The sequence below is a fragment of the Homo sapiens genome, chromosome 22 (genome assembly GCF_000001405.40).
Source record: "Homo sapiens chromosome 22, GRCh38.p14 Primary Assembly".
Lineage (NCBI taxonomy): Eukaryota > Metazoa > Chordata > Mammalia > Primates > Hominidae > Homo > Homo sapiens.
The window spans coordinates 27,121,765-27,149,604 of NC_000022.11; the positions used below are offsets into that span (position 1 = coordinate 27,121,765).

General features: G+C 46.1%; 1 long non-coding RNA gene across 1 annotated transcript, besides 4 other annotated features; it reads left to right on the forward strand.

Moving 5' to 3' along the window:
* Positions 12,232-13,297: an enhancer, noted in NCBI's record as "amplified fragment containing the chr22:27529960-27531023 (GRCh37) CAGE-defined region". NCBI's record gives its function as "transcribed enhancer that activates a basal EF1alpha promoter by reporter assays in THP-1 monocytes {active_cell/tissue: THP-1}" and the evidence as "EXISTENCE:reporter gene assay evidence [ECO:0000049][PMID:24670763]".
* Positions 12,232-13,516: a biological region, named in NCBI's record as "P300/CBP strongly-dependent group 1 enhancer GRCh37_chr22:27530043-27531242".
* Positions 12,317-13,516: an enhancer, noted in NCBI's record as "P300/CBP strongly-dependent group 1 enhancer chr22:27530043-27531242 (GRCh37/hg19 assembly coordinates)". NCBI's record gives its function as "activates an origin of replication core promoter dependent on BRD2, BRD4, P300/CBP, MED14 and CDK7 cofactors, with strong dependence on P300/CBP, by STARR-seq in HCT116 cells {active_cell/tissue: HCT116}" and the evidence as "EXISTENCE:reporter gene assay evidence [ECO:0000049][PMID:35650434]".
* Positions 12,643-12,937: an enhancer, noted in NCBI's record as "tiled region #5002; K562 Activating DNase matched - State 8:EnhW, and HepG2 Activating non-DNase unmatched - State 22:ReprW". NCBI's record gives its function as "activates a minimal TATA promoter and a strong SV40 promoter by Sharpr-MPRA in K562 cells, with weak activation in HepG2 cells {active_cell/tissue: HepG2 | K562}" and the evidence as "EXISTENCE:reporter gene assay evidence [ECO:0000049][PMID:27701403]".
* On the forward strand, positions 16,436-27,460 carry LOC107985534 (uncharacterized). Its single transcript, XR_001755607.2, has 3 exons — positions 16,436-17,001; positions 21,695-21,765; positions 24,960-27,460. It is a non-coding gene; the product is annotated as an uncharacterized LOC107985534 (long non-coding RNA).
* The last annotated feature ends 380 nt before the right edge of the window (positions 27,461-27,840 follow it).

Genomic DNA, 27,840 nt, shown 5'->3' on the forward strand with positions numbered 1-27,840 from the left:
ATGTATCCAAGCTTCTTGCTCCTGATACTGCAGGGCTTGGTCTCTGCCTTCATCTCCATTCTCTTGTCCTGTGTCGGCCTCCCTCCCATTTCTCAGGTAGGATAAAGTCATTCCCATCTCAGGGTCTTCATGCAAACTCACTGGCCCCCTACCTCCAGCACTGTGCCCACGTCTCTTGCAGAGGCAATCCCTACTTCTCATTCATGTCTAGCCCAAATACCAGTCCCCAGAGGGACCTTCTCTGACCATCCTAGCCCAAGCCTAACTCTTTCTGGCTCATTGCATCCCATCACTCAGTTTTATTTTCTTTGTAGTCCTTATGTAAAATTATTTCATGTACACATAGATATTTACTTATTTCCTGCCTGTCTCCTCTTGCTCCAGAGTGTTTACACGAAGGCAGGGATTTTCTTTTTTTTTTTTTTTTTTTGAGACGGAGTTACTCTGTGGCCCAGGCTGTAATGCAGTGGCATGATCTTGGCTCACTGCAATCTCCACCGCCTGGGTTCAAGCGATTCTCCTGCCTCAGCCTCCAGAGTAGCTGGGATTACAGGTGTGAGCCACCACATCTGGCTAATTTTTGTATTTTTAGTAGAGATGGGGTTTCCCCATGTTGGCCAGGCTGGTCTCGAACTCCTGACCTCAGGTGATCCACCCACCTCTGCCTTCTGAAGTGCTAGGATTACAGACGTGAGCCACTGTGCCCAGTCGAAGGCAGGGGTTTTGCCTGATGTATTCCCTACTCTATCTCCAAGGCTTCACAGAGGACTTTGCACATAATAGGTGTCCAATAAACAATTGCCGAGTGGGTGAATGAATAGTGCTTTGCACCATTCCTTGAAAAGCCTTTCATGAGCGGCTCCTGGCTTCTTTTTTCCTGTGACTACAATTATATATTTACGAGGTAATCAGCAATCGAAAAGTTCCCCGTAATAGTAACTGGAGCTTAACATACAAATAAACTGAACACCATTAAGGACGTTTTGTGGCCACCGGGGTGGATCAAGTGAGCTAATCGCCCAACTCACAGCAATTAAGTCAATTAACCATTTAGACATATGCTGAGCCATTTCCCGGCTCCAGTTTCCCGGGGCATCTGTGAAATTTGTGCGCTTTATTTATGGCCTGAGCTTCTGGTCGTAGTTAGTAACTGGGATGACTGGGGAAGTGAGAAAAGGTGGCTGGTTAAATTTTTAAAAAGTCAGTGTGATGGCAAAGAACGAGAAGCTGGACCTTTTCCCTCTGTGGACGCTTTCTCCTCCTTCCTTTCCTGTGTGCGGAAAGGATGGGAAAGGCAACTATTTCTTGCCTCGATTTTTTAATTTTGTATGTTTGGGGCTGCTTTTAACACCTGTGCGTGTCATGAAGGGAGATAGAAAAAAAAAGGCGGGGGGATGAATTGGGTGGGGGCGAGGGGTAACTCCTTGGGACACAGACTCAGATCTGGGTTCAAGTCCTGACTCTGCCTCTCAGGAGCTGAGCCTGAATTTCCTTATCTGGGAAATGGGGAATTACAGAGCCTGCCTCAGAAGCTTGGGGTGAGAATTAAAGGGGTGGACAGTGTAAAGTCCTTAAGTAGTGCCCGATGCAGAGAAAGTGCTAAATATGGGGTAGTTATTATTTGTGATTTTTTTTGAAACAAAGTCTTACTCTTGTCACCCAGGCTGGAGCGCAGTGGCGCGATCTCAGCTCACTGCAACCTCCGCCTCCCGAGTTCAAGCGATTCTCCTGTCTCAGCCTCCCGAGTAGCTGGGATTACAAGCGCCTGCCACCACACCTGGCTAATTTTAATATTTTTAGTAGAGATGTGGTTTCACCATGTAGGCCAGGCAGGTCTTGAACTTCTGACCTCAGGTGATCTGCCCGCCTCGGCCTCACAAAGTGTTGGGACTACAGGCGTGAGCTACCGTGCCCAGCCTTTGCGATCATTATTATTGAAAGACTGAAGAAAGGGAGGCAGAAAGGGCCCAGAGACTGGGGTCAGACACGATTGTTGCAACCCCAGCTCTTGCTGGCATCACACTGCCACATACAACTAACTTCACTTCTCTGGGCCTCAGTGTGTGTGCGCATCTGAGAAATGGGACTGATAATGCCAGGAGGGGTCTTCACAGGAAATAGGTCTGATGCTTGCAAGGCTCTGGCCTGTGATCCTCTTCATCCCACTGGTTTCTTCTTTGCATTTTTAAGAAGGAATTCAAGGAGCTTGCCCCAGGTCTCCAAATAAGTTACATAAATGGAGCCCAGGCCTCCAATTCTGATTTCAGAGCAGCTTCCACCCTGCCTTGAGGCACTTTACAATCATGTAAAACAAAGCCATTCTTTAGAAGTGAGGCATGTTCCCAGAGATAATTAGTATGTATAGATTGGATGCTTTTGAAAGTACTGCATAAAGCCTTTCATGGATATTATGTAATTTAAACCTTACAAAGAAACCCTGAGAGCATAGAAAAGGCTCAGGAAAGGCAGGTAACTTACCCCGGGTAACACAGCCTGGAAGTGGCACAGTCAGGATTCGAACCAGGCTCTGGCTGAGTCAGACACTCATACCCACTGTGCTCTCCTGCCCATGGCATGTGTGCTGTGATTTTCTCTACATGGTACTCCAGTTTGCAGGAAAATGAAAGCGTCCCAGTTTCAAGATTAATCACTGGCTTTTGGAGAGAGGCCCTCACCGCCCTCCCTGCTCCCAGCCCCAGCTGTTACCCTCTTCTCCTTTTCTTACTTCCACCCTGAGGGCTCCCAGAAGGCGGCAGGTCCTTGGCTGAGGATGGAGAACTGCCAGATGGATCAGGCTCCGGAGACAGAGACAGAACCTCAACATCAGAGACAGTTCCCACACACCGAGTATGTGCAGGGAGCCACGTCGGACCTGCCAACATCCCGGGCCTTCCGACTCAGCCCGGCAACATCCCTGCATGGGATTTTGGAAAGCATTGAAAACAGACATCCCTGAACCTAAGACGCATTTCTGATCTTCTGTGGCGAGGGTGGCAGGGTTGCCGGAGACTGTTTCTTTCTGGCAATAGTCAACACCAGCTGGTGCCAGAAAGAGGAAGGAACGAATCCCCAGCTGAGAGCATTGCTCAGGTTCCAGCAAGGGCTGAGGCACCCGTCGCTGGCTGCTGGTTCACTTTGACAGCAGGGTGGGGTGGAGGGGCATTTTTCCCATCCCCTCCTTCTGCATAGTGCTATATAGTTAGTAAAACTTCTTATTGAGATGTAATACAATTTATTCAGTATGGTCATAATAATAATTACTTATATACATATATATAAATTTCACATCTGTGCACCTATCTATATATGTCTGCTCCATCTTTATGCAGATTCTCACAGTTTAGAAATTATAAGTTTAACAGACATGAAAACAAACAGTCATGTGCTGTTATAATAGGGAGAACAAGATACGAGGGCTGTGATTATCAAACTTTGGTGTGTGCAAGAATTATCTGGGAACTTTATTAAAAATGCAGATTGCTGCACCCAACACCAGAGCTTTCAGTGCTGTAAGTCTGGGTCAAGGCTCAGGAATTTAGATGCTAAAAATTGACACTGAATCGAACACTTTAAATTGGTTAATTGTATGTTATGTAAATTTCACCCCCTTAAAAAAATTGCCAGCAGACCTCAGACTACGCATTCTCATACACTATACTAAAACAGTTTGAAGAGGGCTTAACACAGATTGGAACATTAAGAAAAGCTACTGATGGAAGGTGCTGTCTGCATTTTCATGGAGATTTCCAGATGGGCAAGGCAGGGAAGGGTATTTCAGGCAGAGGGCACAGCATGGGAAAGATTTGGAGAAAGAGACAATATGAGAATGTAGAGAACATAGGAATTGATGGGGATAGTTGTAGGGTCCAAGACACAGGAGACCTCACCTGCCAGGGCAAGATGTTGAGGATCCCCTGAGGGCCCTGAAAATCCTTGAAGTATGTAAGGTGAGGTTGTGCTTAGAGACAATCCCAGGCTGACTCATAGGGACTGGCTTGGTCGATCATACATACAAAGCACAGAAGCTAATTCCAGTGGTACAAAAAGCCACAAGGACAATAATGCAGAAATCGAGAGTAAAAAGTAAGTGCGTCCCTAAACCACCCTCCCTTTGAGACCTTTATAGGAAACACACTTAAATTAGTTACACAAATTGGACCATGAGATGTAGGCTTTCTAGAAATTCCTTTTCTCTCTTAACAATTTAACATGGACATGTTCTCATAGCATTGCACATGTTAAACTGCCTCATTCGTTTTAATGGCTGCATAGTATTCTATATGGGCACACTAGGTTGAAATTGTGAATACACAATCTAGATCATTTTTGATCTAGAAAACTAGCCATTTTGGTTTACTTGACCATTCCCATTTTGCTGGATTGTTTTCAATGTTCTTCTATGCTATTGTAATCAATGGTACAATGTTTCTCTTTGAAAACATATCTCTAACCAAATGTGCAAGTATCACACTGAGGGAGATTTCTGAAACTGGAATTGCCAGGTCAAAGGTGGATATATTAAAAATTTTGATGGGTACTGATAAGTGTTCCCTAAAGGGAAAAAAAGTCCCTCATTCCCACTACTAAGAAACTGATAGAAACTGTATTGAAATTGTATCTCTCAACTTTTACACAAATATACTTTACGATAAATGACCACAAAAATCTCAAGGCATACAACAAAAATTATTTCTTCTTGTATTCCAGAAAGGTTATACTCAGGGTGTTCAAGAGTGCCTATTTTGTTTGCAGCATCCTCACAAGCAGTGTGTGTTATCATTAAAGAAAAGTTGGCTAATTTGACCATTTTAAGTTGTATCTGTTCAGATTAGGTGTGTTTCTTTTATTGTTAGTGAAGTTTATTTAGCTTGTGCTATGTGCTTATTGGCCCATTTCTATGCCTTCCTTGATTAATTTCACATTCATGCACTTGATTGTTTTTCTCTATTTGCTTTTATTCTTTGTTTTCTTAATCATATCCAAAAGCTCTTAATATATTGTGTTGATTGACCCTTTGCCGGTCAAAATGAGGCAAATAATTTTTCCCCAGTAATTTTATGTCTCTTATTTGTTTAACCTGTAAATATTTTAGTAGTATGTAGCCTAATAAATCTATCTTTACTTTTATAGCTTATTATTTTGTTTTTATACTTAGAAATGTCCTCACTGCTTGAGGTCATAAAATGCTAGCCCACATTTTCATCAGGGGTTAGGGGAATCATAGAGTTGATGCTTTCCAGTTAACACCAATCAATTGGGAACTGATTTTGGTGAATGGCTGTGAAGTAACAATTTAACTCTATTTTCAATCTCTACTAGTTAAACAATCATCCCAGTGCTATTTGTAGAATAATCCTTTCCAAACTGAGTTGAAATGCGACCTTTATTACATGCAGATTTTTACAAATCCTCAGGTCTGTTTCTATATTGTCTTATTTTGAAACTAATAAGCAAAAGCACCTCTAATCCTTCCACCAGATTACATTTCCTGGATCCCAGCTCTGCTTCTGAGGAGACGTTTCCTCTGTTTTCATCCATCCATCCATCCATCCATCCATCCATCCATCCATCCATCCATCCATCTATCCAGCCATGCATCCATGTATTCATTCCCTCCTTCATTCATTCATTCATCCATGCATTCATTTATTTACTTTCCCATATTCATATTTGTTCTAAAGAGTTATGTGGCTCTCAGAATTAATGATACAAAATTAACTCATGCCAGTGAGCTTTCTGCAACAGACACTGGGCTATGCAAGTCACTCGATGAAGAAACTAATGCTCAGAGAGACTAATGAACTTGCCGAAAGTCCCCTAGGTAGTAAGTTCCAAAGCAGAAATTAAAACTCAGATCAGCCTAATTTTAACTTTAACTCTGCTGAGTTCTTTATATACTAATTCCTCATATTTATTGTCCATCTACTATGTGCTGGAAATTGTGGTAGGCAGTGTGAATCCTCCAGTGGCCCAGATTCTGTCTCTGCCTAGAGAAGCTGGTAGAGGCAGGTCACTGGAAATATTACAGTTCAATGTGTCTAAGGCTAAAAGAAGACAGCAAAGTACAAAGCTAAATGAGGGTTTCCCTGGTGAAGCAAAAGCTCCCAGCTTCTGAAAACATGACTTTACTCTCTTCACGGCAAATTAAAAAGCCCATTTACAGGTGAGACCTGAAAGTCCAGAATCGGGATTTTCTAGTCGTGTCAACCATCCATTTCCACCTGGGCTGTGGTAACTGTGCCAGAGATGAAGGACTCTGGGCAGACTTTATAGGAGAGAGTGGAGGCAATAAGAGAAGAAGAAAAAAAAATCAACACCCTTCAAATCGGCCTTCTGGGCCCCATAGCTTCTGAAAACCTTGCCATCTGTTCACATAAGCATGTTCCAAAGTTTTAAGTACCTCTTTTCATGAACTCCGTTAAAGTTAACCTGGCCCCATAATATATGGGAGAAATCTGCTATAAATAGAGGTAAATAGAGATTGTAAAGATAAATAACAATAGCAGCATGTGAGGAGTGATAATGTTCTCTATTTATGGCCCGACTCTAAAAAGGGATGGCCGGCGATACTGCGTCTTTAATGACTTACTTTTGCTTTGGCAGCCGGTACTCCCTGTTAGGGTGCTAAAGATTCAGTGACACAAAAAGCTTACAGATAATTAAATATTGATTTTTGTTTTCTAATCCTACATAAAAATTGTCCTGGGTCTCCCAGTGGTGGTTTTATCTCACCAGGATATGGGGAGAGGCGAGGGCGTCTTTTAACCCTCTTTGCGTTCCCGTTGTGTGAGTCTGGCATGTCCCTTAGAAAAAGGGGAGTGTCCAAGACCGACTTCAAGGGGTGAACAACCTGGGCTGTCACCCACGGTCCTACCCTTGGTTTCATGCTCTGCAGGCACCCTCTTGACATTCTTAGCAGTCTTGGCACAAGAGGTTCTGCATTTTCATTTTGCACCAGGACCCACAGTTATGTACCTGGTCCTGGGGGCTTGGGGTCAGCCTGAGAAATTAGGGGTGGACAGAGCTGGACCCCCTGCTGTTCTGCTGCTGCTCAGCATGCTCACCCACTCGCCTGCCCCAAATCTTGCCAGCCGTGCCAGGAACTTCAAGTCTGGGAAGAGGGCCAGAGAGAAATTTGTGATGAGAACAGTTCTTCTCCCACCCTCTGCTCCCTTTGCTCTCTCTCTTCCTCTTTCTTAAAAGAAAAAAAAAGAAAAAAAGCACTTTATTGTCATTTTGCATCTGGAGTACAGCAAGGGGCATCTGGCAGTGTGGCAGCGTTTTGGGCTGGCTGGCTGGGAGGGTCAGAGAACTTCAGAGAGGAGAGAGGGTTTTGGAGAGCTGGGCTAAGGTTAGGTCTTTCCTTGGGTTTGCTGTGAGGCCTTGGGCAAACGACGATCTCTTCTGTGCCTTAGTTTTCTCATCTGAAAAATGGAGCTATTAACAATGGTTCCTCTGCCTGCCCCTGTCTTCCACCAGGACCGCTGGGGAGAGCCTCTAAGTTTACAAATAATGAAGATCTTCAAAATGCTTAGAATGAAAGTGATGCTGACCTGCTGCTTACGGGATCAGGAATTTTATACAAGTTTCTTATAGATACCATCTCATGTGTACTTACTAAAGGCCTTGCACATTCTGACTCATTCAAATCTCACAACAATGTCATGAAGTTGTTGCTATGATTAACATCACCATTTTACAGACAGAAAAATTGAAGCACAGAGAGGTTGAGTAATTCGGCTTAGGTTGCACAACCAGGAAATAGCAGAGAGGGATTTGAGTCAAGCACTCTGCCTGCAGAGTCCTGGCTCCTAACCACTGTGCAGGATCCTCCCTTGTTCTTTGGGGTGCATCCTGCAGAAGTGCCAACTAGGGGTGTGCAGGCCAAAGGTGGCCCCAAGTGCTTTTTTTAAAAAAAATTATTTTTAATTGACAAATAACCACTGTCTATATGTATAGGGTACAATGTGATACTTTGATATATGTGTACATTCCATTTGAAATTTGAATCAGTTGCCAACATTGAAAACGAATCTCATTATTTCTATATAAAACACAAGGCCAGGCACAGTGGTTCATGCCTATAATTCCAGCACTTTGGGAGGTGGGGGCGGGTGGATCAGTTGAAGCCAGGAGTTTGAGACCAGCCTGGGCAACACAGCAAGATCCCATATCTACAAAAAATAAAAATAAAAAATTAGCCAGTCTTGGTGGTGCCTGTAGCCCCAGCTACTCAGGAGGCTGAGACAGGAAGATCACCTGAGCCAGGGGAGGTTGAGTCTTCTGTGAGCCGTGATTGCATGCACTCCAGCCTGGGTGACAGAGCAAAACCCTGTCTCAGAAACACAAACAAACAAACACCCCACAGATTTCCAGGATCTATCTCTCTCTCGCTCACTAGCTTTTTTTTTTTTTTTTTTTTTTTTGAGACAGAGTCTCACTCTGTTGCTCAGGCTGGAGTGCAGTGGCGTGATCTCCGTTCTCGGCTCACTGCAACCACCGCTTCCCAGGTTCAAGCAATTCTTCTGCCTTGGCATCTGGAGTAGCTGGGATTACAAGTACCTGATACCATGCCTGGCTAATTTTTGTATTTTTAGTAGAGACAGGGTTTCACCATGTTAGCCAGGCTGGTCATGAACTCCTGACCTCAGGTGATCCGCCCACCTCCAGTATCTCTTAGATGCTCTGGTAATGATAGGCTCCTGTACCCACATGGCAAAGATAAGCTGGAGTCAAGCCTCCTCCATTTGCCTCAGTCACCACCACTCCCTACTGTCTCTTTGGCTCTAAGGCCCAGAATCTATTTTCTATTATTTATTTATTTATTCATTTATTTATTTATTGAGACTTAGTCTCACTCTGTCTCCCAGGCTGGAGTGCAGTGGCACGATCTCGACTTATTGCAACCTCTGCCTCCTGGGTTCAAACAATTCTCCTGCCTCAGCCTCCCGAGTAGCTGGGATTATAGGCACATGCCCCCACACCCAGCTAATTTTTTGTATTTTAGTAGAGACAGGGTTTCATCATGTTGCCCAGGCTGGTTGTGAACTCCTGAGCTCAGGCAATCCTCCCACTTTGGCCTCCCAAACTGCTGGGATTGCAGGCGTGAGCCACCGCGCCCGGCCCTATTTCCTGTTATTTTACTGTATCTACTCATTGCCCTCACTTACATCCTGCAGTGTGTCCCTTGGAGGGGTGCTGGCAGAGGACAAACTCAAGACCACTGTGGAAGACATCAAAAAAGAACAGCAGAATGTGGAGAAAAGACTTCAATTTGTCACAGAATAGAGCCTGTGACTCACAGCCACATGCAGATAAGGATTTCTATCAATGACTTAATGTGGACATAATTAGCAATCATATTAGAGGTCTACCGTGTGCCACTTGGAGTCTGTTATGTATAATTATGCTGAAATTATCAGTAGAGTTCTTCCAGAGAGGGGATTCAGTCATTCTCAAAGAATTCTTTCGTGTTGACTTCATTAAGTTTCCGTTGAAGAATTCCTCTAGGTATTACCGTGGATCCAAGTATGCAAGGTGGGCTCTTTTGGACAAAAACAAATATAAAGCTACCCATGTGGGAGACTGCATTAACTAGATGGGTTTCTCTCGGAAGATTCTACATGGCAAGGCAGTAGAATGCCTGATATATAATAAACACTAAATAAACATGAGATAAATAACCAAATAGTTCTCATGGGTCATAGCTCAGAGATAGGACTTACCCTCCGGGGAAAGGTTGGACAATAGGCTTCATATCACCTGTCAACTCGGAGCACGAATAGTTCTGTCCTGAGGCATTGTGTTAAGAAGGATGCTGAGGGTGTGTCCATGCTCAAGATAAATATGATGGACAGAGGATGTCTGCTGTGGGTGGGAGAGAGGCTCTGACAGCCAAGAGCCTAGGAATTTACCCCTTCCAGGCAGTGATCTGATCAAACTGTAATCAGAAAGATTGTTCCAGACACTAGATGGAGGCTGGATTAGAAGAGGTGAGACCCAAAGAATTAGGTTGGTGCACAAGTAATCGTGGTCTTTGCCCTTACTTTCAATGGCAAAGACCACAATTACAAAACAGAAACCATGCCAGGTATTCTAATAGGGTGAGTTTAATATAGGGACCTGGTGTTGACAAACTGGAAAAGCACAAAGAAGAGATGAGGGGGAAGCAGAGACAGTAACTGTGGGGAGCAGCTGCCTTTCTTGGGATGAAAGAGCAAAGGGAGAAGTTGGGGGAAAAAAGCCTGAAGGAAGAACCAGAACTCCGCTGGCACTCAAGAGCCCAGATGAGGGGCCATGCAGAGCTTGGGCACTGACTTCTGAAGAGTTGATATGCAAGGCCACTTGTCATAGTGAAAAAAAAACTGCCCAGGAACCGACTGTCATGGCTGGGATGATGAGCCACTGCTTCCGTCATGCTGACAGAACCTGCAGGCAGGCCAGGTGTGATGGCTGAGGTGTGCAATCCTGCACTTCGGGAAGCCAAGGAGGAAAAATTGCTTGAGACCAGGTGTTTGAGACCAGCCTGAGCAACATAGTGAGACCCATCTCTAAGAAAATAAAAACACCAGGCGTGGTGGCATGCACCTGTGGTCCCAGCTGCTCAGCAGATGGAAGCAGGAGAATGGCTTAAGCTCCAGAGTTCGAGGCTGCAGTGAGCTATAACAGCACCACTGCACTCCAGTCTGGGCAAAAGAGTGAGACCTTGTCTCTAAAAACAACAACAAAGAAAACAGAAAAATGAAAGAAAGAGAAAGAGAGAGAGAGAAAGAAAGAAAGAAAAAAAGAAAGAAAGAAGGGAAGGAAGGAAGGAAGGAGGGAAGGAGGGAAGAAGAGAAGGAGGGAGGGAGGGAAGGAAGGAAGGAAGGAAGGAAGGAAGGAAAGAAAAAAAGAAACTGCAAGCAAAGAGGGACAAGCATGTCCCTTTTCCTGACATCTGCCTCAGGGTTACCTCTAGCACCTGCTATGGGCAGAGGCTTACAGAGGCCCAGCAGGCCCAGCGGCAATACAGGGCACAGAATCCTAGCCCGGGTACCGGAAGGCAGAGTATAAAAGGGTGAGTTTGGAACTAGGAGACAATAGTGTAATGACCTGCACAATTAGGGAGGCTTGGAGAGGTGAACCAGCTCACCTCATCCAAGTGACATGTCTAGAGCCAGACGAACACCCACCTGCCTTCTCACCCTGGTCTGCTGGCTCTGGGCTCTTAATTACATCGAGATTTGCAAGCTTTCTGGTGGACAGGGATGATGTTTTTCATCTTAATCCTCTTCATCCCCCAGCACACATGCACGTGCACCAGCCACTTAGAATCACTCCTTTATCTCCCTTTGCCAGAAATAGGTATTCGAGCAATCATTGTTTCCTGCCTCACCCACGGGGTTATTTCCACTTCTGGTATCACAATCGCCTTGGGTCCAGATCTACTTCCCAAGTTGTGTATGATGTACTTAGTATGAAATGCCTGGGTGCGGCTGCACAACCTGGCAGGCGGGTGGGGGTGTTCGTGAGGGTGGCAACCCAAGGCATCGCGGGGGCTAGTCCCTCTGATGGTGTCCCCAAGCTGCTCAGCCCTCAGACGTGCAATAAGTCAAGTGACTTTGCATCTTTCTTTTTGTTTCAGCAAGTTGCATCTCTCCTGCAAGAAGACTTCCCTTCCTGTCACATCCCAGGGGCCCTAAGAGCAGTAAAGCTCTTCCTCTAATGCACGGGGCAGCAATCCTCACGCACAAGCTACGTTCTCTTTTGGACCCTGCATGCACATTTGTGCCGAAACATCAAATAGTTCGCCCAGGAAAAATAAATATAGAGAGATTTCTTGCAAAGTGAGCTTTCTTGTCTCCTTTAGGGCTTCATCTGTGCCGAACCGTACAAACATTTTTGTGAAGGCAGAGCCAGTGAAAACCCTGCGAATAAAAGTGGGACTGATTTTATGCTAATATATGTAAAGAATGTGACGATAGAGTCATAGGTAACCCAATGAACTTAACTTTTTTCTCCCTTTTTATTGAATTATAATGACTAGTTTCCATAGCAATTACTGCATCACCTTGTACATTACCAGAAAGATCTACTGCACTATTTTCCAGTCATCCTTGTAAACATTTCTACTTTTTTACGATGTTCTAGGGGAAAACACAAGCCCTTTCGGCTTGGCAGCAATTGGAGAGCATATTTCAGGAGATTAATAAAGCCGGCTGGGGTGTTTTTATTTTCTAAGTTCGGCAGTTGGTTTTCCATCTTCGCCCTCACCAGCTTCTTGTCAGGCAGACAAAGAGGAAAAGAGGCGAGCAGGAGAGAACAGAGGTGAAGGGGGAGGTATGCAGTCACCAGGGAGGGCAGAGGGGATGGGGCAAGAGCATGCCTCAGGGGTTCATGTCTGTGAGTCTGCTGATTCTGGAATCGTTTGGAGAGCAACGCCCTCGGGAACAGCCTTCTTCCCACCCTAGGTTTGGAGGAGGATCGGGGGTGTCTATAAGCTCACAAAATATCAGCCATGGAACACACAGATATATCTTGTCTATAGCTTCAAACCTGTGTCTCCAGGCTCCGACTGTGTCCTGGGTCCCTGGAAGGGGATGGGAAGATGGGAATGTGGGCATTCCCCGCACCTCCCCATAGAATGCCCACTTCCAGCCCAGCTTTCTTTAATGGGCTTTTCCTATTGGCTTTCCACATGGTATTTTATTTCCAAAAGGCCGCTGCAGCTGATGGATATTTGAAGATACATGTTTTCAGTTGAGAAATAAGGGAAGTAACACCCGGAGAGGAATGAGTCAGCTACAGTGAGTAAGAGGTGTGGTCAGGCCTGGGACCCACCCAGCTTTCTGATGTCTGACTTGTCCCATTGCACCCTGTGGAAGGGCTGAGCTTTGGGTAGGTAAAAGAAGTCACAGTCACAGGGTCTGGTAGATAGAAAGACCCTGAACTGGGCTGGGGGAACCCCATGCAGGGGTTTTGGAGTTTCCAACCAGAGAGTGGGGCAATGACCCCATCATGAGCCCTCAACACCTTCAGTTCATTTGGTAATGGGGCCTGTTTCACCGCCATTTGTGCATCAGCTCACTGCCTCTGCGGGGAAAGATACCTAGGCATTGTGGAGAGGACTTGCTATTGGGAGCTTGGGCCCCAAAGTCAGAATGCCCGGGCTCCAATCTCTGGGCTGTGCCTGTGCTGAGCTGTGTGGGGGTGAGTGACTTCCCCTGCTCTGCCTCAGTTTCCTCTGCTCTAAAATGAGTCCAATGGTAGAATCCACCTCTGAGGCATTTGTGAGGGTCAACAGAGATGGTGTGGGTTAGGGTTAAGTGCTCGCACTTACAAGGGGCTTCATTGTTTCCAGCGGGCGTTCATGGACTCGCTTGTAGCTGCAGTGAGGCCTTGAATGAGTTAATTAAATTCAGGGAGTCCTGGCTTTTCCAGCTGTAAAATGAGAAATGTATGCTGGCTGGTCTAGAAAGTTACTGCTGGCTCTGAAATTCAAGAGTTGTTGGATTGTAACAGTATAGTTGGAAAAAGGAAAGGAGGGAGAAAAAGAGAGAGAGAGAGAAGAGAGGGGAGAGAAAGAAGAGAGGAAGAGAGAAAAGAGAGGGAAAGAGAGAGAAGAAAGAGAATGAGATAGAAAAGAGAGTGAGAAGAAGGGGGAGAGGGAGAAAGAGAAGGGAAGGGGGAGGGAGGGAGAGACACTGTGTAAGAGCAGATGCCTTAAGCAGAAGGAAAAAGTCCCTAAGTGACAAGAAGCTCTGAGTTCACCAAAATGCTTAACCAAGATAAGAAGGATGTAACTGATGTTGGAAAGATTGTTATGAGATTAATAAAAGTGATTAAGGGATTAAGACTTCTCAAAAGAGATAGTGAAGGGACCTCCAATGGGAAAATCCTCCCTCACCCTCTGTACCCAGCCTCTCTTCTCGGTTTTTAAGTCCTCAGTCATGTAGGCATCTAACAAAATCGTCTCAGCAGATGCTCAAATAGAATAAATAGAATCCTGGCTTAAGCCCATCTTAGACATTGGGAGAGGTCCCCTGTGACACACACACACACAGTCAAATAACTGGATTTATTTCTGGGAATGTCTGGAGGAATTTAAGGTATGCCTTGAGTCATGGGTCCAGGGTCAAGGTTAATCTGTGGGGCTGTTCTACTGAGCACATAAGTCCTAGATAGACACGCCTGTAGGGGAACATAGATATGAACTAGGCATCAGGAGGGAGCCTGGGTAGGTTGGGGGCAGAAGGTGTACTTAGAACTGGGAGATCCTGGGGATGTCAATCTCAGTTTTGACATATGGCAGGTACTCAAAAGAAGAAAAATGCCATCCCCTTCCACTGCTTCAACCCTATCCTCAGTTTTCCCACCTGCAACCTCGGAACAAGGATACTTCTCCAAGACACAATGGGTGGGAAAGCACTTTACAAAGGAATCACTGGCATTCCTTCCCAAAGGGTTTTCCAGCACCCTTGTTGGAAGATTCTTGACTTTTCTGTTGTTCTAGAATAACAAACAGAAACCCGGACCCACTGTCCTGCTCTTCCAGCAATTTTCCCACAGCAGGGGGTAGGGTGGTCAGCTCCAGAGTTGGAAAGGTGGTCCCAGTCACTTTCAGGTTCAAAACCCACCTCCATCTCTTACCAGTTGTGGGTGTGATCTCTGTTTCCTCATCTGAAAAATGGCAGTGATTTTACTGGGTTAGCTGTGAGGGGAAAATAAAATAATGCACAAAAATAGCCTGGGATGGTGCTTGACATACGGCATGTACAAAAAAAAAGAAAAAGAAAAAGAAAAAGAAAAATGCCATCTCCTTCCCCTTTTTCAGACCTATCCTGATATTGGTGAAAAGACTTTGCCCTCTCTCCTCTGCCTTCTGCTCTCTATGGCTTGACACAAACTCTAGATTGAACCATATGGCCACCAGCTTCCCAGATGGCTCAATAAGACACCCACCTCCCGGTGTTCACATCTTCCCAGGCTGTGTGGCCACTGGAGTATGATGGCTGTAATGGCATGCCACCTCCAAGGTTAGGTTATAAAAAGACTGTAGCCTCCATCATGCTTTCCCTCTCCTGCCTCTCTCATGAACCACCCACTCTGGGGAAAGCTGTGCTATGAGTAGCTCTGTGGACAAGCCTACATGGGGAGGAACTGAAGCCTCCAGCCAACAGCCGCTTGAATGAGCTTGGGTCCTTCAGCCTCCATCACATTTTCAGAGACCACAGCCTCAGCCAGAAGCTTGCCGACAACTTCATGAGAGACACTGAGCCAGAACCACTCGGCTAAGCCACTCACAGAATCTTGGCCCTGAGAAACTGTGGGATAATGAAGGCAGGTTGTTTTAAGACGCAAAATGTTGGGATAATTTGTTACACAGCAACAGTTAACAAATACAGGTGATGCAACTAGCTTAAGGTCAGCCTTTCTGAGGTTGAAGTTAACTGTCACACTGTAGATGAAGATGTGCAGTGCAAACATGGTGTTGTGATTTATTTCACAGGGGTCTGTCTCAGTGACAGACCCCTCCCCCACCCAACGTCAAAAACCTTTGCCTTGTCTTCAGAATTTGCTCAACAGGAAAGAATGAGCTCCATTGCGCGGACTGGTACATTGAAGCCTGAGATGGAAAGCTACTTGCTCAAAGTCCCACAGCAAATCCGATGCAAAGCTGGGTAAAAATAAGTCTCCTTACATGCGTGTGTGCATTCCTTCATTCACGAGTAAGTGTTGACTGGAGACCTACTATGCGCTGGGCTCTGCTCCAGGTAGTCTCCTCAGTGCCCTGCCTTAGTAGGGCACCCCAGATAAGCCTGGATTCCGGAAACTCCGGAGAAAGGATGTTGTACACCAATTCTGAGACCTGCTGTGTGCCCCTAGCTATGTTCAGGGGGCAGGAAATAGACCAGACATGGAGGTTCCCGCTTTGAGAGAAATCCTAAAGGGCCCTTCCTCTTTAGGTGGGAGGTGAGCTAGACAGGTACCCAGATTCTCTCGTGAGGCTCAGTGGCTGGCAGAAGCTGAGAAGTACTCAGTCAACTCAGACAGGACAAGTCTCAATCTGGGAGCCTCCTGGCCTGGCAGAGCCAGGTGCTCTCTTCCTACTCAGATGACTTCCATAGGCCCTCAGCCCCTGAGAGCCTTTGCTGGGAAGCCAGGGATGGCCCACATTGCTGCTGCTGGCTGCTTCTCAGCAGCTGGGTGGAACAATTCCTGCTGGCTCAGCTGCTGTAGCCGATGAGAGAGACAGAGGAGGGAATCAAGCGGGATACGGCTGCGGTCACAGCGCAGTGATGGGTAGGTGCACGCCAGCTGAGAGCAGAGTGGTCGGTGCTGGGAGCCCACAACTCCTGGCAGGGCCGGGGCCAGCTTGGAAAATAAACACCCAGGGATGGTACTTTAGGGTGGGGCGTCTGTTTGGAGATAAAGGCACCTCCGCCCCTTGCCCAGGACAAAGGAGCCATCTGGCCAGGCAGGGGCGGGTGCAGGCTCAGCCCCTCGGTGTCCCAGGCAGCTAGGGGGTGGGGTGCTGTCTGCACAGGCAGGCTGAGCTTAGGACCGAGGCCCCTCTCTGCAGCCTGGTACAGGCAGTGTCCACATAGCCCAGGACTTCTCCACCTCAGCACTAATGACACATAGGGGCAGATGATTCTCGGGAGCGGGGCGTGAGGCTGTCCTGTACATTGTAGGATGTTGAGCAGCATCCCCGGCCTCTACCTATTAGATGGCGATAGCATCCCCCGTCTCAAATTATGTAAGGCAAAAAGATTTTCAAATGTCCCCTGGGGACAAAATCAACCCGAGTTAAGAGCCACTGACTGAGACCGGCAGCTCTCTCTCCTCACCCACCAGTTCCCATGTTCCATGCTTTTCCTGGGTAATGAACCCCCGTCAGGGCCCAGGAGCTGACTGCAGCAGCTGCTTCATGTACATCTCACTGCATCCTCCCACCAACGCTGTGATGTGGAGGTGAAGAAGATCTCCATTTTACAGGAGAAGAAACGAAGACCTGGAAAGGTGAGTTTGCAGAGGTTCAAGGTGGAGGGAGGATTTGAAGCCTGTGTTTCTGACTCCCAGCTTGGCTTCTAGAGTGTCTTGTTCTGTGCTGCATACTCAGTGCTTTGCATACAGCAGGCGATCAATAATTAGTTTTCTAGTGAATTAATGAACAAGACAGAGTTTCTCCTAGCATTCTCAGGCAGAATGCTCTAAGTTTGGGAAGCTGCAGACTGCTGTCTAAGCTAGATCAACCTGGCTGAGACAAGATGGGGCTGGGGACTGAGATGCTGTCACAGAGGACAGGGGTGGTGAGGTCCTTTATAACAAAAAGGCCCATTTGGCCCCCATCCTTGCCTGTTTCTCCAGCCTCTTTTTCTTTCATCCATCTTTCTCTCATCAGCCAGCAGCATCCCCAAAACAGGCCAATCTGATCACATCAGAGTCTTCTGTGTTAACCTGTTCTGGCTCCCAGTGGGCCGAAGATTAGAGTCTTTTGATTCATTTGAAAATGCTTCCAATTTGGGTCTGGGTCAACCTAAAATAATCAAAAGAAGGACTGTAACCAAAGTATGCAAAGGAAGCAATCCATGTAACAGTAAGTGACGTGGGCAGGTCTCAATAAATGTGAGCTATTACCATCGTGATTTTTATTGTGCAGGTAACAGTAGGCAGCCTACAGCACTCCTGGGGAAAGCAACACAGCAGGCAGTGGCTGGGAGCACAGTTTGCAGGGTTCACGGTGTGTAAAACTTTCAGCCTCTGGGGTCTGATGAGCCTGAGTTTGAATTTCAGCTCTGCTGCGTAATCTTGGCCAAGTTACTCTACCTCTCTGAGGTTCAGTTACAACTTTTCCATAATGGGTATTTTAAAAAACTGACTTTCTACATTGGTTGTGAGAACAGAAGGAAATGATATATGTCATAATGTAATCACAGTGTGCAGTATACAGTAGGCACTCACTACTTATTATGGCAAGAATTCATGAATCATTCACAACACCCCAGCAAGGTCGACATTGCCGTTATCCCAATTCAAAGTTAAGGAAACTGAGGGCAAAGGTATGTGTCCAAGGGGTCCTGGGCCTAGACTTGACCCAGGGCCGCCTGATTCCCCAGTTTTTCTCCTTTGGAAGGTGGCTCCTTCGGGCCCCAGAGAAAGCTGGGCACCTGGATGCATTATTCCAGGGGCTGCCCTGGCTTCATTCATGCTTTGAATGAAGCCAACCAAAGCAACTTAGTGAGTGAGAAATTTTGGGGTCACTTCCAGACCCCTGGTGTTTGTAGCTTGTGTCTGAGTGAAGCTGAGTCAGGCAGCAGAGGCAACCACTCATGAGATGAAAAAACAAAGTCCCCGCCAACCCCTTAGAGGTTCCTGGCACCGGTCTCCTCTGAGATGAAGCAAATGCCCCCAGACAGGGCAGCAGGGCCAGAGTCCTGCCACTTAGAGGGAGATTTAGGGGGCGACAAGTGGGAAAGCCAGACACACTGGCTGCTGAATTTACTGGTCTTTTCAGCGAGGTCGGCGGGAGGGCCCTTCTGTGTGGAGCTCTGTCGGCAGCTGATATCGCTGAGTTGGTGACAGTGTCCAGCGTCTCCCTGCACAACGCATTGGGCAGAGGAAGCAGACTTGCTCGTGTCCTGGGATCTTTGGGGTGATTCATGGTTATTACACCATGGAATTTCAAAGCATGGCTGTCTGCCAGGGATTCTGCTGTGAAAGTTATAAGACCAGGATGCTCCCATCCAACTGTTTACTGCATGATCACTGGGTACCATACACAAATAGCCCAATTAATAGCCATGAAGGTGTTGCTAGCACTATTCTGTTCCATAGGCAAGGAAGTCTTACAGATGGGCTGAATTTAGTTTTGCATGCATGGACTACTAAAGCCTCCTCAAACTGAGATTCAAAGAGGTGAACTGAGTTGCACAGAGCCAGCAAATTCATAAGAAATTGAGATTTTCCTAAACTCCATTTTCTCATCCACAAAGTAGGTATATTGCTAATGCCTGCCTCACGGGTTGCTGGCAGTACTCACCAAGATAATGCATACAGACTCTTAGCAATGCTCCAGCATGCAGCAAGTCCTCCATAAATGCTAGCAGTTGCTATTATCCTTATTTTGATAGGAACCGACTAAAGAAACATAAACATAAATGAGGATTTTCTTAGAATCAGACTGTTAAAACAATTCATTCACTCATTTGGGCAGCCAATATTGATTGAGCAATGGCTATGTGCTAGGCTCTGTCCTACAAAGTAGGCTTGCAGAAATGAACAAGGCATGGGATTGTCTTCATGACTTTGAGCAATGAAGTGCAAAAGAAATAGATTAATAGATGACTGTACAAAGTGGTAGGAAGGTGAAGGACAGGTTCTGTGGTATAAATGACAGGAGTCTTGGTCTTGGGATTTAAGGAGTGAATTCTTCAGGGAGTGATGCTTGAGACCTGGAGGATGAGTAGGTATGAAACTGGCAGAGGTAAAGTGTGTGTGTGTGCATGCATGCACATGTATGTTAGGGGATAGGTCTGAGCATTCCAGGCAGAGGGAGCAGCATGGACACAGGTCCTGAGGTAGTAAGGAATTTGGTGCACTCCAGTAATTTAAAGAAGGTCAGAATGATTGAGCTAAGAGAAGAAAGGGAGACAGTCTTTGAAAGAGAGGCAGAAGTTAAACCCTGCCATGTCATCTCCCACCTGTCTCCACCCCAAACCTCCCTTCTTGGCATCTGTGGAGTGGGTCTCCATCCTCCCACTGCCAGCACAACTCCCTACCTCCGTGGTCACCATATCCTCAGGCAAATGTTGGCTTTGTGACTTTGAATCTGTCTCCCTGGCCAGACTAGGACCAAGCTCTGCTGTGTGAACTTGGCCAGGCTACTTCACCTGTCAGAGCTTTAATTATGACTTTTCCATAATGAATGTTTTAGAAAACTGACTTTCTACATGGGTTGTGAAAATAAAACAAAATTGCAGATATGTAATCACAGTGTGCAGTATACAGTAGACACTCACTACTTATTATGGCATGAATTCATGAACAAGGTCAACATTGTTGTTATCCCAATTTAAAGACAAGAAAACTGAGAGTGAAGAGACCTGTCCAAGGTGTCCTGGCCCTAGACTTGACCCAGTGCCACCTGAAGGCTGGAGTGCAGTGGCATGATCTTGGCTCATTACAACCTCCACCTCCCTGGTTCAAGCAATTCCCCTGCCTCAGCCTCCCGAGTAGCTGGGATTACAGGTGCGCACCACCACACCTGGCTATTTTTTTTTTTTTTTTTGTATTTTTATTAGAGACGGGGTTTCACTACGTTGGCCAGACTGGTCTCGAACTCCTGACGTCAGGCAATCCGCCAGCCTTGGCCTCCCAAAATGCTGGGATTACAGGTGTGAGCCACTGCACCCGGCCACACATAGCTAATTCTGTAGAAAAAAATGAGGGTTTGAGCTTCTGTATATTTGTAAATTCTATACATTCTTCAGTTGCAAACCTTCTCTCTCTGTTTATGCATGCATACAAGTGTCCTTTCCTGATTCACCTAACAGAGCAAACTTTACTCCTCACTTCTCTTCCTAACAAGGTTCTGGTTTCTTCTCCCTGGAGATTTTCAAACTGCCTGTGAGATTACATCCATAAACACTTCACCTTACAAAAGAAAATAGCAACAAGTCTTCTTCTTCTGAGCACTTGCTCCCTGAATAACTTTGCAAGCAGTTTTTCACAGAGTAAAAGGGCCCCAAAGGGATGGCAGAGTAATCCTTTAAAAATGAAGTTGACTAAGCTATAGGTTTTGGAGGTGGGGGGTGCTGCAGTCACTGGTGTGGGCATCAAAAAACCTGGATATCAGTCCCGTTCTCCCATTTTCTTTGGATAACTTCCCAGTCTTCTTCACCTGCGCTCCTCATTTCCTTAGTCATTTGCCAACTCTTTTTTTTTTCTTTTTTTTTGAGAGAGAGAGAGAGAGAGAGAGAGAGAGAGAGAGTCTCGGCATTTTTTTGAGACACAGAGAGTCTCACTCCATCACCCAGGCTGGAGTGCAGTGGCACAGTCTTGGCTCACTGCAACCTCTGCCTCCTGGGTTCAAGCAATTCTCCTGCCTCAGCCTCCCTAGTAGCTGGAATTACAGGTGTGCACCACCACACCCTGCTAATTTTTTGTATTTTTTTTAGCAGAGACTGGGTTTCACCATGTTGGCCAGGTTGGTCTCGAACTTCACACCTCAAGTGATCCACCCACCTTGTCCTTCCAAAGTGCTGGGATTACAGTTGTGAGCCACTACGCCTGGCCTTTTTGCCAGCTCTTTATTGTGCACCTACTATGTGCACTCGGAAAGAGTTACAGAGAAGAGCAAATCAGACAGGGTTGTTCTTGCCCTTGGGAAGCTCATGCTCTGGAGGGGGACACAGAGCTGAGCTGTGGATCACTGATCATGTAAAAGACAAAGCTCTAGTTTGATGAGGGCTGTAGAGAGGGGATATAGGTTGCTGTGCACTGGGGCCAAGATATAGATAGAGATCAAGATGGTAGAGGAAGGTAGAGGAAGTGCAGGTGCTAACACAGGTGAAGCTGGTGTGTAAGATGAATGTGGGAGTGAAAGTGGAGAGCACTGGAGCCAGCACCTGCCACAACCCCTGTGGACCACTCTCCACCCTGCTCCTCTATGCTTGGTGCTCAGGACAATAACCATGTGGTGTGTCTTTCACAGCACTGATGACTTCAGGTTGCAGCCAGCCATCAGGGAGCCAGCAATAGATGCAAGGATTGGAGGACTCTGAGGTGGGTATATTGTCTCTTCCAGCTTCCTGCATGTAGGGACACTATAGGGCAAGCTGCATTGTCAAGGACCTTCCCACACGGCCTCCTCTCCCCACTCTGTCCCCTGTCCTTCCAGGCCTGGGGGTGGCAGCTCCCCACTGTTACTAGCCCTTGGGGTTCTCCCCTACCTTTGAAAATAGTTCCTGGCTGGGTGTGGTGGCTCATGCCTGTAATCCCAGCACTTTGGGAGGCTGAGGCGGGCAGATCACCTGCGGTCAGGAGTTCGAGACAAGCCTGACCAACATGGAGAAACCCCATCTCTACTGAAAATACAAAATTAGCCAGGCGTGGTGGCGCACACCTGTAATCCCAGCTACACGGGAGGCCGAGGCAGGAGAATCACTTGAACCCAGGAGGCAGAGGTTGCGATGAGCCAAGATTGCACCACTGCACTCCAGCCTGGGCAACAAGAGTGAAACTGTGTTTCAAAAAAAAAAGAAAATAGTTTCTTTTTTCAAAGTCTCCTAAACTGACCCATCTGGGGCTCTCACTTATATAGCTTGGATCACAGAGGCTTGCGGAGATTTATCTTAAGAGCCTCAGGACCCCACTGAGGGTCTTGAGATGCAGTAACATTATCCAGTTTGTATTCTTAGAACTTTTTCTCTGATATAATTGCACATTTACAAAATAGTTGTGAGAATAGTACTGCTCTGTGTCGAAGTGTGTCATCTCAAAAAAGAGATGCTGATGTCCTAATCCCCAGTGCCTTGCAATGGGATCTTCTTTGGAAATGGGGTCTTGTCCGAGGTAACAGAGTAAAAATGAGGTCACTAGGGTGAACCCTAATCCTCCATGACTGGGGTCCTTTTAGAAAGGGGAAATGTGGACAGAGACAGGCATGCACAGAGGGAAGATGATGTGAAGACACACAGGAAGAAGGCCATGTAGAGATTGGAGGAATCCTGCTGTAAGCTAAGGAATGTTTGAGGCCACTAGAAGCAGGAAAAGACGAGGAAGAATCCTTCCCCTACAGGTTGGATGGAGCATGGCCCTGCTGATACCTCAAGCACAGATTTCTGGCCTCCGGAGCTATGGCTCAACACATTTCTGCTGTTCTAAGCCACCCAGTTTTGGGTACTTTATTCTGTCAGCCCCTAGAGCAATACATTTCTCTTTGCTTTTCTCCAGCTTCAGCAATTGGAAATGTTTTGTCACATTTCTCTTTTCTTGGGGTGGGGGGGGGGTGCAGGACAGGGTCTCGCTTTTGTCGCCCAGGCTGAAGTGCAGTGACACGATCTCGGCTCACTGCAACTTCCGCCTCCCAGGTTCAAGCAATTCTCCTGCCTCAGTCTCCTGAGTAGGTGGGACTACAGGTGCGCAGCACCACACCTGGCTAATTTTTGTATTTTTGGTAGAGACGGGGTTTCACCATGTTGGCCAAGCTGGTCTCGAACTCCTGACCTCAGATGAGCCACCCTCCTTGGCCTCCGAAAGTGCTGGGATTACAGGCGTGAGCCACCACACTTGGCCATTGTCACATTTCTTAATCATTTTCTGATTAAATTTATCACCAAATATATAGAAGCTTGCTCTCTCTATATAGGTATACACACACACACACACACACACACACACACACACACACACACACATAAGTATGTACATAAATTAAATTTTTTCTAAACTATTTGATAAAATTGTGGTTTTGATGCTTCATTTCCACAGTGACCAATTATCCTGGTTTGCCTGGTATTTTCCTAGCTCTAGCACAGAAAGCCCTACACATTGGGAAACCCCTCAGCGTCCTGAGCAAACCGGGACAGTTGCTCACCCTCTCATTAAATAGTTCAGTGTGCAGTTTCTAAGTACCAAAGCAAACTCGTACATGGCCACAGTAGAATCACGAAAACAGGAGAATTCACCATGGATGCGCGCACTAGCCTTTCCAGCAGCCCCTACTCAAATTCCACCAGTGGTCCTAATAACACACTTCGGAAATGTTTCCCCATGATCTCTGGGCTAGGATCGCACATTGCATTTAGATGTCATGTTTCTTGAGTTTCTCCTGAGTATCCAACTCTTTATTCTAGAACCATTTCTCAGTCTTTTCTTTTTAATGACCTTAATAATGGATCACAGACCACTGAATAAAGTAAGAATTCATTCTGATAATAAATAGATAAAGGAAAGAAGACACAACCCTTCCTCACACTAGGCAGCCAACTAATAATTGTGGAGGGACCGGGCACGGTGGCTCACGCCTGTAATCCCAGCACTTTGGGAGGCTGAGGCGGGTGGACCACCTGAGGTCAGGCATTCAAGACCAGCCTGGCCAATGTGATGAAACCCTGTCTCTACTAAAAATACAAAAAAGTGTCCAGGCTTGGTGGTGGGTGCCTGTAATTCTAGCTGCTCGGGAGCCTGAAGCAGGAGAATCGCTTGAACCCGGGAGGCAGTGGTTGCAGTGTGCCGAGATCGCATCATTGCGCTCCAGCCTGGGTGACAAGGGAAAACTCCATCTCGAAATTAAATAAAAATAAAAATAAAAATAATTATTAGCAAATCGGTATTTGCAACCACCATGACAGGAGCAGGTTCAGGCAGCTATTACGGAAGAACGCTAAAGCCAGGGAATAAGAATGCGATGGGAATCAGGAGTTGCAGTTTTAATGTTGTCCAGGTAGAGATTTAGGCCAGGCACTCCAGTCATAGAAGAAGTTACTTACTTTGATTGGTCTGACGCCATTGGCACACCAGCTCCATGAGATAGGCAGCTGTTTTGCTCACTGTGGTAGCACCAGCACTTAGACAAGCTCCTGAGACATAAAAGATGCTCAACAAATACCTGTAATGTGAATGAGTGAATGGTTGAGGAAGTTCTCATTTGAGCAGAGGGTGGCAAAAGAGAAATATTAACAAGTTCTGCTGGATCCAATCCCCTTTCCCACAAGTGTGTATTTTCTTCTGTACCAGGTTCCAAAGCAGAAATGACAGTGAGCATCCACTCTTTTAAATGTTAACAGTTTAATAAACATGAATCACCAAAAAGTGCTTTTACAGTAAGGCTAATGGAGCCGAGTTTATTCCATTTTGTTGCATGGTTAACTAGATCCGAATAATTACCAGCTCCACATTTATAGATGCCTGTTTTAAGGTTATTTTTATGTTGCTCTGTGAGGTGAAGGCTCTTGTTTTCTCTTCTGGTTTTATAGGCTAATATGGAGTAGAATGCTCAGTAAATGCCAGCTGCAGTGGGGTGGCCATCCCAGGGGATGATGCCCCAGTGCCCAGGTCCTCTGTGCAAGTTCATCCCAAGCTGTGCCATCCCTTCCAAATCCTTCACAAGCCAGATGCAGGAGCGAATCTTGTCACTGAGTTGCAGTCATGGCCTAAGGGTGTTTCAGGATAAACAGAAGAAGCAGAGGACAGCTGATCTGGATGTGTTGCCTCCCCCACTAACATTATTGTTACCCTCTTGGAATTAGAGACCATGCCAGCCTGTATCTCCTCCTTCCTCTCTGTCCTGTGCAGAGCTGAGTGTGTCCTCAATGTTTACATAAAATGCCATAAATCATGGAATCTTTAAGCACAAGAGACCTCAGAGGCCAACTCCAAGCCACAAACAAGGAACCCTGAATCGAAAGGGAATCTAAAGCTTCAGGCAAAGAGAGAGGAGATTGGATGGTGTGTCAAGCACAGTGCTACCCCCTTTATAGGCATGGCATTGAGGTAGGACATGGGACTTGACTCTGGAGGCAGGGCTCAGGTACGGGACCAAACTGAAGACTAGCTAAAATAGGGACAGGGTGAAAACACCTTTCCATAGGAAATGCCTGTCAGTGTGCCATGTCAGTTTATCATTGCCATGGCAACACCTGGAAGTTACTGCCCCTTTCCATGGCAACAACCCGATGACTGGAAAGTTTCCAACCCTTTTCTAGAAATTTCTGCATAATGCACCCTTTAATTTGCATATAATTAAAAGTGGGTATAAATATGACTGCAGGACTGCCTCTGAGCTGCTACTCTGGGCACATTGCCTATGGGGTAGCCCTGCTCTGCAAGAAGAAGTACCTCTGCTGCTGTGGTACACTGCCACTTCAAGAAAAGTTGCTAACACCACTGGCTAGCCCTTGAAGCCCTTGAATTATTTCCTAGGCAAAGCCAAGAACTCTCGCAAGCTAAACCCCAATTTGGGGGGCTCACCTGCCCTGCATCAGCGTAATTTAATACTCACAGCTACCCTCCAAAGCCAGCATCATGATACCCACCTGAGAGGTCAGAAAACCGAGACACGGAGTGATGGCGGCTGACTCAGTTCCCCTAGCTGGGACTCACAGCTGGATGCAAGCTGCCTAACCTGAGGCTTCAGGCTCTATCCACAGTCTGCAGGCATACTGACTGGCCTCTGTTTATGCATCTGTGAAATGGGGATGATGAGGGCAAGTATTCATACTATGCCCCACCCAGCAGGCTTCAGGCAATGAGGAACTATAAGCATGGATGTGAATGTGTTCTGGACATGGAATGGATGATACAAAGAGAATGGATACTCAGGTGCCCAGAGAGCCCTGGCTTTGTTCCTGGAAGTGGTCAGATAAAAAAACCAAAAAAAAAAAAACAGTTTGGATGTGGAGTCAGGAAGAACTAGGTTCAAATATTACCTTTTCCACTTAATCAGTGCCTGACCTTTGGCAGGTAACTCTACCAACCCTTCCACCCGCCTTTTGTAAATATTCACAGAGTGAGGGTCATGTGCAAGATACAGAAGTCAGTCTGGATTCAAATAGGCTCTGCTGGGGTGACATGTAGGAATCTGCACAAGTGATTTGTCATCGTCACCATCATCATCACTGAGGCACAGCACACATATAATACAATGCATAAATCTAAAAGCAAAACCTGAAGAATTTCTGCATGTGCATAGTGTTGTAGACTAAATTGTGTCCTCCCACCCCCTGAAAAGTTATCTATTGAAGTCCTGACCTTCATAACTTGGGAAAATGGCTGTATTTGAAGACAAGATCTTTAAAGAAGTAAAGTAAAATGAGGCCATTAGGGTGGGCCCTAATCCATTTTACTGATGTCATGCACGGATGCATGTGTACAGAGGAAAGGCCATGTGAGGACACGGCGAGAAGACGGCCACCTGCAAGCCAAGGAGAGAGATCTCAAGAGAGACCAAACCTGCTGGCCCCTGATCTTACACTTCCAGCTTCCAGAATTGTAAGAAAGTAAACTTCGGTTGTCCAACCTACCCAGTCTGTGGTATTTTGTTATGGTAGCCTGGTCAGACTAATACACATAACCTTGTGTAACCAGCACTACGATTAGGAGCAGAATATTTCCAATAACCCAGCAGCCCCTGCCATCATGACCTTCTCAATCTTGCCCTCTACCCCCAGAAGTAATCATTGCTCTGATCCCTGTTATCATCAACTAGTTCTGTCCATTTCTGAACTTCATATAGGTGGAACCATACAATATGTTTCCTTTGTGCCTGGCTTCTTTGACTCAGCATTCCATTTCTGAAATGCATCTTTCCTATTGGGTGCAGCCGTCATTCATTCTTTTTCTTTGCTGTATAATATTCCACCGTGTGACTTCATCACAGTTTGTTTATCCATTTCCCCATTGATACACATTTTGGTTGTTTCTATTTTTTAGCTCTTTTGAATAAAGCTCTTATGGGCATTCTTGTGCAAGTCTTCAATAGCCCTGCACACTCGTTTTTCGAGGGGTATATACTCAGGAATAAAATTGCTGAGTCACAGCTTAAATGTATATTTAGCTTTAATTAATGTTAGAGTTTGTGCTTTAACCTTTCCGCACCTCGCCTTCCTCATCCGTAAAATGGTGCCTGACACCTAAGGCTGTTACGAGGATTAAATGTGATTATCTATGTAAAGTATGAAGAAAAAAGCTAGATGCAGAATGATATGTAGGGCTAGATACCATTTATATAAAGTTTAAAAACCTGCATGAGCAACACGACATAATGTTTATGGATACATAATCGTGTAATAAACATTTAAAAACATCTATTGGCATAATAAACTCCAAATTTAGGCTGGTGGTAGGAGGATAGGAGGG